The sequence below is a fragment of the Homo sapiens genome, chromosome 15 (assembly GCF_000001405.40).
Source record: "Homo sapiens chromosome 15, GRCh38.p14 Primary Assembly".
Lineage (NCBI taxonomy): Eukaryota > Metazoa > Chordata > Mammalia > Primates > Hominidae > Homo > Homo sapiens.
The window spans coordinates 46,094,529-46,106,137 of NC_000015.10; the positions used below are offsets into that span (position 1 = coordinate 46,094,529).

The 11,609-nt window shown below is 41.1% G+C and overlaps 1 pseudogene, besides 2 other annotated features; it reads right to left on the minus strand.

Annotated features, from left to right (window-relative positions):
• Positions 383–677: a silencer, noted in NCBI's record as "tiled region #14673; HepG2 Repressive non-DNase unmatched - State 24:Quies". NCBI's record gives its function as "represses a minimal TATA promoter and a strong SV40 promoter by Sharpr-MPRA in HepG2 cells {active_cell/tissue: HepG2}" and the evidence as "EXISTENCE:reporter gene assay evidence [ECO:0000049][PMID:27701403]".
• Positions 4,675–5,846, minus strand: LOC100419366 (phosphodiesterase 8B pseudogene; annotated as a pseudogene).
• Positions 10,369–10,869: an enhancer, noted in NCBI's record as "H3K4me1 hESC enhancer chr15:46397095-46397595 (GRCh37/hg19 assembly coordinates)". NCBI's record gives its function as "activates a minimal SCP1, AML or CMV promoter by ChIP-STARR-seq in primed H9 embryonic stem cells {active_cell/tissue: H9 hESC(primed)}" and the evidence as "EXISTENCE:reporter gene assay evidence [ECO:0000049][PMID:30033119]".

Consider the following 11,609-nt stretch of genomic DNA (forward strand, 5'->3'; position numbering starts at 1 on the left):
CCCTCTTCAACCAAGTATATCCTTGGGCTATGCTGTCAGCTTTGACAACTGACTGCCATCTTGTTCTAGAGGCTGTCTTTGTGTTCCATCTACTGCCAGTGATGGGGTCCTCATTGTGAGCCAGGCAGCCAGCAGTGCTTTAGCTCCAAAGCCCCATCTTATCACCCACTCTCTGACTGTTCTCAATACCAACTCTCTTAGTTTTGGTTTTCTGAAAGGAAACACTGAGATGAAGTTTGGGGTATGTTATATTTATTAGGAATCAATACCTGTGAAAGAAAAGTGAAGGAGGCATGATTGGGCAGAGGAAGAAATAAAAATGAGAGGCAGGCCCAACAGAGCTTTAGCTAACCTTGCAGAGAGCTCTGGTGCAACGACTGCACATCAGAGTTGCATAAGTCAGGAAGGAATTGCCTCTTTTATATTTCTTTACTGAATTTCCAGGTGTGAGCTCTCTGGGGAAGAGAATGACCTTGGGCAAGGCAGCTCTTTGCGGGCAAGGCAGCTCTTTGCAGCCAAGGCAGACTTTGAAGGAGCTGACAGCCAAAGGCTGTTTGCATTATCTATTGTGATTGGTAGACATGGGAAAACTCCCTCCTTCTCCCTGCTTCAAGGAAGGACTTCCTGCCAGGTTGCAGTCAGGAAACTGTACTTTTTGTGCCAGCATTTACTTTTGAGAAGTTAATGGCAGGGGTCGCATGGTAAAGGGAAGTGTTGAAGAGGAAGGGATTTTCTTTCTAGATATGGTATGGTGGGGTACTATCTCTAATTTTAGTGAAATTAACTTTAGTTCTGGCTTGACTGCACCCTAGTTCTACAACTTTTTCCAAGACAATTTCTCTTTCTCCATTAATGGTCGAAGGAGTGAGTACAAAAATGCTGGTCGGATCAGCTCAGAAACCATCTTGCAAATGCTGTCAGGTTACTTCACATGAAGTGCTCTATGAGAAATGAAAACTGTCAGCCTGTGCTTGGGAATCCATACGTTTCATTGTCAATACTTTTTCAGCTCTGAAGTTTCATAGAAAGGAAAGAAGTTGCTTTCCATTCCTCTCTTATACTTTCTCAAATTCTGACACCTAGAACCCTATATGTAGTGGTTTTCTCTTGATGTTTTTGCAATTTGTCAGGGCCCGAAGCCAAGCAGCTTTCTTTGGTGACCATCAGTTCTAGAATTACAACTTTCTGGGGTATATAAATAAGTACTTGTAGCTTGGTGTGGGAAGTCTTGGTATTTTTACATGGAAACATATCTCATGGAAGCAAATCTTTGCATAAGCTTGTTGAAAATAGTTTAAACACATTTTCTCTATGGTTTTCCAGATGGTTTTCTTGGTCACAGTGATTTTTTGTTTTTTTTTTTTTTGCAGAGAAGAATCCTATATTTATGATTATCTATATAGTAAATCTATAAAAATATGGACTAAACAGTATACTTGGCTTTTGTAAAAATACATCAATGTTCTCATACTGTGTATCTTCTGGCACTTACTTCCTCCTGCCTACTTTCTCCCATTTAGTTTTTAAAGAGCTACCTTATCCATGTTTATATACCTATCATATGTATATTTGTGTGTATATAAATATGTATGTAAATATACACATAGGTGTGTCACACAAACATATCTACTGAGAAATTGATTATAGCCCAATTTATCAATTTTTTAAAATTGACATCCAGGTGGATTCCTATTTTTCACTATTGTACATTTTACTGTGATAAATGTCATATATATTCTTGTACAGACACCCATAAGATTCTCTGGAAAGTGTTTCTAGAAGCAAAAATACATGTATTCCATGATCCAGAAGCAAATTTTGAGAAAGCAATTTGGCAATATGTCCTAAAAGGCTGTGCCAATTTATAGTCCTATTAGTAGTTTGGTAACAAATCTGAAAATTACAACTCTCAGTTTTGTCAATCTGATGTCTCTCTATATCCCAAGGTAAATTTATTTTGTATTACTTCGATCAATACTTGGATTGAAGGTCTTTTATGCCCACTGGCCATTTTGATGTTTTCTTATTAATTTTTCTTGTCATTTCTGCCCAGTTTTCTACTGGTTGCCTTTTCTTATCAGTTTCTAGGAATTCTTTAATTACACGAATTTGATCCTTTAGTGTTCTTGTTCCAATTATGTTTCCCTTGATCTGTGGCTTGTATATTTTACATTTCACAGTAATTGCACGTATTACATAAAAAGCAAATAGTTTAAACACATTTCCTTAATTAACTTTGTTTGGTTTATCTAGGAAGCCCTTTCCTAGTGTGTGTTAATCAAGATATTTGCCTATGTTTTCTTTGTTTTTAATTTTTTTCAGACTTAGGCCTCCTGGAAAATTCTTTGAAAAAAAAAAAACTATTCAGTCCATCTCAATAATTGTTTTTATGATGGGAGGTAAGGATCTGAGATTTACTGAGTAGTTCTCCTCCATTAATTAGTGTTTCCATCTCTGTAGATACCATACATTTAAGCCTTTTTTGTGCTTTATGTTTGGTGCTATCGGTCTGGTTATCACCACTTCCAAGCCCCTTCTACTGCAGCATACACAGTCTATACTCAGACCATACCAGTTAAATTACTCTGGCTTTATTTTAAATCTTCTATGAGGTATGGCAAATGCCTTCCTTATTTTTTAAAAGTGAACACGCTATTTTAATTTGTTTATGTGAATTTTATAAGTAGCATGTTTAGTTCTATGAAAAATCCTCTTAGAACTAAATCGCATTTAATTTACTATTTATTTGTGGGAGAACATTGACCATCAGGTTTCATAGTAATGGATGAGAAGACTCAAAATCCTCTCTCCCTTTAAAGTTTTAATAAGGTTAACAAAAGAGCAATATAATTCTTCCCTTAAAATTCTTAGGAGCAAAGCTAATATTAAATCTTTTAGGTTTTTTTTTTGTTTTTTTTTTAGTATTTATTGATCATTCTTGGGTGTTTCTTGGAGAAGGGGGATTTGGCAGGGTCATAGGACAATAGTGGAGGGAAGGTCAGCAGATAAACATGTGAACAAAAGTCTCTGGTTTTCCTAGGCAGAGGGCCCTGCTGCCTTCCACAGTGTTTGTGTCCCTGGGTACTTGAGATTAGGGAGTGGTGATGACTCTTAAGGAGTATGCTGCCTTCAAGCATCTGTTTAACAAAGCACATCTTGCACTGCCCTTAATCCATTTAACCCTTAGTGGACACAGCACATGTTTCAGAGAGCATGGGGTTGGGGGTAAGGTTATAGATTAACAGCATCCCAAGGCAGAAGAATTTTTCTTAGTACAGAACAAAATGGAGTCTCCTATGTCTACTTCTTTCTACACAGACACAGTAACAATCTGATCTCTCTTTCTTTTCCCCACATTTCCCCCTTTTCTATTTGACAAAACCGCCATCGTCATCATGGCTCGTTCTCAATGAGCTATTGGGTACACCTCCCAGACGGGGTGGCGGCTGGGCAGAGGGGCTCCTCACTTCCCAGACAGGGCGGCCGGGCAGAGGCATCCCCCCACCTCCCGGACGGGGCGGCTGCCGGGCGGAGGGGCTCCTCACTTCTCAGGCGGGGCGGCCGGTCAGAGATGCTCCTCACCTCCCAGACGGGGTGGCGGCGGGGCAGAGGCACTCCTCAGTTCCCAGACGGGATCGCGGCCGGGCAGAGGCGCTCTTCACATCTCAGACGGGGCGGCGGGGCAGAGGCGCTCCCCACATCCCAGAGGATGGGCGGCCAGGCAGAGATCCTCCTCACTTCCTAGACAGGATGACGGCCGGGAAGAGGGGCTCCTCACTTCCCAGACTGGGCGGGCGGCCAGGCAGAGGGGCTCCTCACATCCCAGACGATGGGCGGCCAGGCAGAGACGCTCCTCACTTCCAAGACGGGGTGGCGGCTGGGCAGAGGCTGCAAACTCGGCACTTTGGGAGGCCAAGGCAGGCGGCTGGGAGGTGGAGGTTGTAGCGAGCCGAGATCATGCCACTGCACTCCAGCCTGGGCAACATTGAGCACTGAGTGAGTGAGACTCCGTCTGCAATCCCGGCACCTCGGGAGGCTGAGGCTGGCAGATCCCTCGTGGTCAGGAGCTGGAGACCAGCCAGGCCAGCACTGTGAAACCCCGTCTCCACCAAAAAATACGAAAACCAGTCAGGCGTGGTGGCACGCCTGCAATCCCAGGCACTCGGCAGGCTGAGGCAGGAGAATCAGGCAGGGAGGTTGCAGCGAGTGGAGATGGTGGCAGTACAGTCCAGCCTGGGCTTGGCATCAGAGGGAGACCGTGCAAAGGGAGACGAGGGAGAGGGAGAAGGGTATTTTTTTTATTCTCTTTTATTTTTCTACTTTATTTTTGCAAAAATATAGAAATATTTGATTTTAATAAAGTTTAGAGACAAACCTGTAGAACTCATAGGAGTTATTGGTTCTTTGTGGTAATTATAACATTTGCAATCACTCATCTTGTTTCTTTATTCTTTCTTTTTTTTTTAACCATGCCATAAATTATTATTTTAGCTATTTGAGGGAGTGGAGAATAAGAAAAAGAGCCATGTCCTTATAATACCAAAACAATTTGGTAGCTCAAAAAGCTCTGTTAAATTGGTTGTAAAATAGCTGTTTGTCTAATATATTTACTAAGATTGAATTATTAGATCTGGAATCCAGGCAGGTAATTAGATCATGATATCAAAATTCTACCCGAATTATTTCCTTACCAAGGAGGACAGCAGTGGCATGCAGGATGTCTGCAGCATGGTGGAGTTATGGTAGACTTTGGACAAGTGGTAGTTGGCTTCAATGACTTGGAGCTAGGCCTGAAGAGGGGTTTCAGAACAGTTTTAAAATTCACATATTCCAAACCAGAAAAAGGCCTTTAAGCCCAGGTCAACCAATGGCCTTTTATGTGTAACAACCTCCAATTTAAAGATGTTGAAATCCTAACTCTCTTTATTATCGAGTAATTAAGCAATGTAAAGGAGATCATCATTGATGGTGATATGGTTTGGCTCTGTGTCCCCAACCAAATCTCATGTTCAATTGTAATCCCCAATGTTGGAGGTGAGGCCTGGTGGGAGGTGATTTGATCATGGGGGCGGTTTCTAATGGTTTAGCGTCACCCCCCAGTGCTGTCCTTGTGTTAGAGTTCCCACGAGATCTGGTTGTTTAAAAGTATGTGGCACCTGCCCTCTTGTTGTCTTCCTCCTACTCTGGCCATGTAAGACATGACTGCTTTCTCTTTACCTTCTGCCATGATGGAAAGTTTACTGAGGCCTTCCCAGAAGTCAAGCAGATAACAGCAAGCATCATGCTTCCTGTACAGCCTGCAGAACTGTGAGCCAATTAAACCTCTTTTCTTTATAAGTTACCCAGTCTCAGGTATTTCTGTATAGCAGTGTGAGAATGGACTGATATAGATGGTTAGTGGCATCACAAGGTGACTGCAACTCTGGTGCATATTCATAGTAAACTCATACTCATTTCCTGAAAACCTTCCCAAGGCATCAGTCATCAGACCTCTAGAAAGATCACTGGTTTTGAGGGTCTTCATCTTTAGTGGTCAGCTATGAAGAGGACAGTTCTGTGATTTGCAAAATTTCTTAAACCCTATCTAAGGCTTCTGTTACCATGACTTGGGTGTTTTCTTGGGCTGTGCTGATAATATTTATAATCCCTGTGGTGGGAGACTCAATAGTCATGGAGTGGACTTCTGCCATGGAGAGATAGTAATGATTCTATAGGCTTAGTACATCACTGCCTCAAGGAGATATCAAATTCACATCAATGGACTCTTCCCTCCTTCTTTTGTATCTGAACAAATGAGGATCTGTATAATAATTGTCTCCTGAATCATGATGAACTTTGTGAATGTGATTGTGGAGGCCAAGAAGTCCCATGTCATGCTCTCTGCAAGCTGGAGGACCAGAGAAGCTGATGGTGTAACTCCCACATGCATTATCTAACATCAGTTTGAGTCCAAAGGCCTGAGGACCAGAGGAGCTAACGGTGTGACTCCCACTTCTAGACCAAAGGCTTGAGAACCAGAGGAGGAGCTTGTTCTTGAGTCCAAAGGCTGGAGAACTTGGAGTTCTGATGTTGGAAGGCAGGAGAAGATGAATGTCCCAGCTCCAGAAGAGAGCCTTGTTTGTTTTTATTCTTTGTACCTAATTTCTTTTGTGTTAATGAGTTAAATAGAAGCTCTAGTACAATGTTGACCACTAGGAGTTATGCCTTGCTCCTCACTTCAGTAGAATAGCTTCTAAACTAGTGTCACCATTAATCATGAGATGCTCTGTGGTAGACACCTTTTATTATGTTATGTTCCCTTCTATTAATAGAATAGTACTGACTGTGCATTATATTTTCTTCGAGATTTTTGTGACCCTATTGAAATAAGAATATGGTTCTCTTTAAATCTTAGTCTAATGTACTTGTGCATATTATCTGATACCTAACTTTCTTTGCACATTCACAGTACGCTTTATTCAGTTTTGATGTATTATCTATCATAAATACTAGTAACAATCTAAGATTTTTTGTACATATGTTTATAGAAATATTTTATAGATCTGAAGTTTGAGAGACTACAAAAGAAGGGATGCTACTCAAATTTAAGTAACAGAACCATGTCTTTAAAATGAGTATGAACTTGATATAAAGACTGAATGTAAAGATTTCATGGTAAAAGTTACCTATCAAACCATTTGAACCTAGTGGGATATTGTTTGCTTGCTATGATCCTACCCCTACCCCATCCCATACCAACATGTCTCCTATAACCAAAAAGCAGAGTCTTGGTTATTGCTGGTTTCTCATGCCTAAAAGAGTGCCTAGCATATAAGACTCTCAAATATATACATTAATATTTATTATTATTGGTAAGTTCCATTTTTCTACATACCAGAAAATTATCAAGACATGGGAATAAATTATGCCAGTAGATTTGAAAACATAGATGACAGGGACAAACTTGTTCACTATATTTTCATGATGGAGCATCATCTCAATCGTGTTATCCTTTTTCATTTTCATTTAGCTAGAAGTTGGTCACTTGAAAAACAAAGCGAAGGCACAAGTAATAAAACCATTTGTAAATTGGTTCTTAATATTTCTTAGTAGTTTCTTACATTTTAAATGCATTACATCTAAGTTTTAATTTTGAAAATAAGTTCACTTTTAAATATTTGAAAACATTAAAAAATCTCAGACTACAAAAACCCTACCTGCATAAATTAGAAGAAAGGAAGAAATAAAAAGAAGCAGAAATCAGTTGAATGAGTTTTTCTTTGTTGGCCATCCGTAGTTATTTCAAAGTCTTTGCAAAGAACAAAAAAGTTACAAAAGCAGACTTGTAGGATACCAGAATTTTAAAAACCCTATAGGTTACAGCACTTATTTTATTCATGAATATTTCAGTGTGTGCTTCTGAGAGTTGATTTATTAGATTTGCTTCAAAATAATATTGGACTAGGGAAGTAAGTGGGGTATAGATGAAACAAAATTGTCTGAATTAGTAAATGAGGCTGTGTGATGAGTACATGGGGGTTCATTAAACATAAAAGGAGGCAAAATAATATAAGATTTTTGAAATTGTGGAAAATTGCATCAACTTACTTAATTGCATTGCAGTCAGACCATGGTCTATATATCAACTTGAAAACCAAAAATGTTTTATATATGTGAATAAAAATAATACATATATATATGAATCAAATTATTCTTAGTTGCAATGTTATAGATATTTTTATTGGAATAAATTGTTAACAGTTCAAATCCTGTACTTACCAATTTATTTAGGAGAACTATAATATAAATCTAAAGAAAAATTGACAAATGTACAGTCATAATGAAATCTTCTACCAGTGTTTGCTTTATACTGAGGTTTTGTTATATGCACACAAATTCATAGTACATTTTCCATTAGTAAAAATGCATTGTTGGAGATAAACACTGCATATTGATTGATACACAACTACTCAATCTTATGTGAATATTTGACATTGGCATTTTTAAATTTAGTATTTGCTAGGTGTATCTCTTCCTAATCAGCTTATAACAATTTCTTTTAAAGAGCCAGTCAGATTATCTGTCTTTTAAAGGCGTGTTTAATCATTGCATTTGGTGATTCTACTGTTGTATGGATTTTAAGACCTTTTTGTCTCTCCTAATTCTTTTCTTGACTTCTTGGATTGATTGGATCTCTATTCTCTTTTTCCCTTTTCTAGTTCGGAATTTATTGATTGTATATGTAGTATTTTAGTGCTCACCTTGATGTGTTTACATGAATATTGACCTAGAGGAAAATTGATCTTAGACTTTGCATTGTTCAGGAGGAAGAGAAAGATAGAAAAAAGTCTAATACATCTCAGCCTTCATCTTCCATGTTCTTGCTGATATTGTAGTTCTATATTGCTTGGATTCCTGGTCATACACCTGTTATGTCATACACCAGTTTCATCCTCTCCAAGTCACCTGTCTTCTATCAACTATAGCTATAGCAACTAGCTCTTCATTAACATCTTGCCTTCCATCCTGGGACCTTCTTGGAGCCCTCACATATTCATGCTGGGAGAGCAGAGAGTTAACACTCTGCAGGGCAAACCTTTGCCCATTCCCACTGGTAAAACATTTACCCACTGGCTCCCCTTTGTTCCTCCACCCATGCAATATCCCTGGGCACATTTCACATGGCACTTTAGGAAAAGTCTTATGGGCTTCGGCCATCAGTCATGTGCTTATACTGGTCTTTCTCTCCTTTTCTGCTTCATTCCCTTTGTCACTCACTTTTGCTCTCTAGGATCATCCTTCCAATAAAATTGTAGCATCTGAGTCTCCTATCTTAAGCTCTTTAATAGGTAAAGCTTAGGTCCCTGAGATCTGAGATGAAGACTCTGGGATCAATGAGCCTAGGAAGATTAAAACCCTGGACGAGCAGACCTTGTTAAAGTCCCACTTTATAACTTCAGATGCACCTCTAAATTCAGCCAGAACTGTGGTGAAGTTTCCATGTACAATGACAGCTTACCATTTCAGTACCTGTATCTCTTTGCTTCTCTGCCTGAAGGGTTTCTTTAGTACCTCTGAAGTTGGTTTAAACCCATGTGCAGAGCAGCCAAGAAATGCTGGTGCTAAATGCTCCTGGGATAACCTTCATCAATGAGAAATGGGAGTGGGTAGATAAACACAGAAGCTTTCCTGTACCTTGGGTGGACCATTAGGGCATATCCTACAAGGATGCCTAAAGCAGAATGAATACCTGGTTGATAAACACAGGGGAGAACAGGCTCAATAAGGGAGAATTTATGGACTCAGAGTCTCTCATTTGTGGCTTAGAAGTCAATGTACTGGCAAGGACACATGCAGCTAGTCCTAAGAGTCTGTTTGAATGACTCCTTTAAGTTTCCTTTTACGTGGGTTCTCTTGGATGTTTCATGCAATGATGTCCAAGAAATGCAAGGCAGGAAAGAATGCCATGAGATGCAGTAAACGTGCACCTGTGCTAAAGTGGGGGTAGCCCATACGGAAGTGTTATTAGGGGCTAGAATGAGAGGTGAGGCTGAAAGAATTCTAAAGGATCTGAAGTGATGTAGGAGAGGTGCTCCACATAATAGGGATTTTCTTTCTAAGGTATTTTGTAGAGTCCTATACCAACAGTTTGAGCTTTAGTATGAGGAATTAAATTTGTTTTAAAATAAATTATTTTGGCCGGGCATGGTGGCTCATGCCTGTAATCCCAGCACTTTGGGAGGCTGAGGTGGGCAGATCACCTGAGGTCAGGAGTTCAAAACCAGTCTGACCAACATGGTGAAACCCTGTCTTTACTAAAAATACAAAAATTAGCTGGGTGTCGTGGCATCTGCCTGTAATCCCATCTATTAGGGAGACTGAGGCAGGAGAATCACTTGAACCCAGGAGATGGAAGTTGCAGTGAGCCAAGATTGTGCCATTGCACTCCAGCCTGGGCAACAAGAGTGAAACTCTGTCTCAAAAAAAAAAAAAAAAAAAAAACAACATTATTTTGTGGAACAGTTTTAGAATTACGGGAGATTTGTAATAGGAACAGTTCCGGTCTACAGCTCCCAGCGTGAGCGATGCAGAAGAAGGGTGATTTCTGCATTCCCATCTGAGGTACCGGGTTCATCTCACTGGGGAGTGCCAGACAGTGGGTGCAGGTCAGTGGGTGCAGCGCACTGTGTGCAAGCCAAAGCAGGGCGAGGCGTTGCCTCACTTGGGAAGCGCAAGGGGTCAGGGAGTTCCCTTTCCTAGTCAAAGAAAGGGGTGACAGACAGCACCTGGAAAATCGGGTCACTCCCACCCGAATACTGCGCTTTTCTGATGGGCTTAAAAAATGGCGCACCAGGAGATTATATCCCGCACCTGGCTCGGAGGGTCCTATGCCCACGGAGTCTTGCTGATTGCTAGCACAGCAGTCTGAGATCAAACTGCAAGGCGGCAGCGAGGCTGGGGAAGGGGCGCCTGCCATTTCCCAGGCTTGCTTAGGTAAACAAAGCAGCCAGGAAGCTCGAACTGGGTGGAGCCCACCACAGCTCAAGGAGGCCTGCCTGCCTCTGTAGGCTCCACCTCTGGGGGCAGGGCACAGACAAACAAAAAGACAGCAGTAACCTCTGCAGACTTAAATGTCCCTGTCTGACAGCTTTGAAGAGAGCAGTTGTTCTCCCAGCATGCAGCTGAAGATCTGAGAACGGGCAGACTGCCTCCTCTAGTGGGTCCCTGACCCCTGAGCAGTGTAACTGGGAGGCACCCCCCAGTAGGGGCAGACTGACACCTCACGCGGCTGGGTACTCCTCTGAGACAAAACTTCCAGAGGAACAATCAGACAGCAGCATTCACGGTTCACAAAAAACCACTGTTTTGCAGACACCGCTGCTGATACCCAGGAAAACAGGGTCGGGAGTGGACCTCTAGTAAACTCCAACAGACCTGCAGCTGAGGGTCCTTTCTGTTAGAAGGAAAACTAACAAACAGAAAGGACATCCACACCAAAAACCCATCTGTACATCACCATTATCAAAGACCAAAAGTAGATAAAACCACAAAGATGGGGAAAAAACAGAGCAGAAAAACTGGAAACTCTAAACAGCAGAGCACCTCTCCTCCTCCAAAGGATTGTAGTTCCTCACCAGCAATGGAACAAAGCTGGATGGAGAATGACTTTGACGAGTTGAGAGAAGAAGGCTTCTGACGATCAAACTACGAGCTACAGGAGGAAATTCAAACCAAAGGCAAAGAAGTTAAAAACTTTGAAAAAAATTTAGACAAATGTATAACTAGAATAACCAATACAGAGAAGTGCTTAAAGGAGCTGATGGAGCTGAAAGCCAAGGCTTGAGAACTATGTGAAGAATGCAGAAGCCTCGGGAGCCAATGCGATCAACTGGAAGAAAGGGTATCAGCAATGGAAGATGAAATGAATGAAATGAAGTGAGAAGGGAAGTTTAGAGAAAAAAGAATAAAAAGAAATGAACAAAGCCTCCAAGAAATATGGGACTATGTGAAAAGACCAAATCTACGTCTGATTGGTGTACCTGAAAGTGACGGGGAGAATGAAACCAAGTTGGAAAACACTCTGCAGGATATTATCCAGGAGAACTTCCCCAACCTAGCAAGGCAGGCCA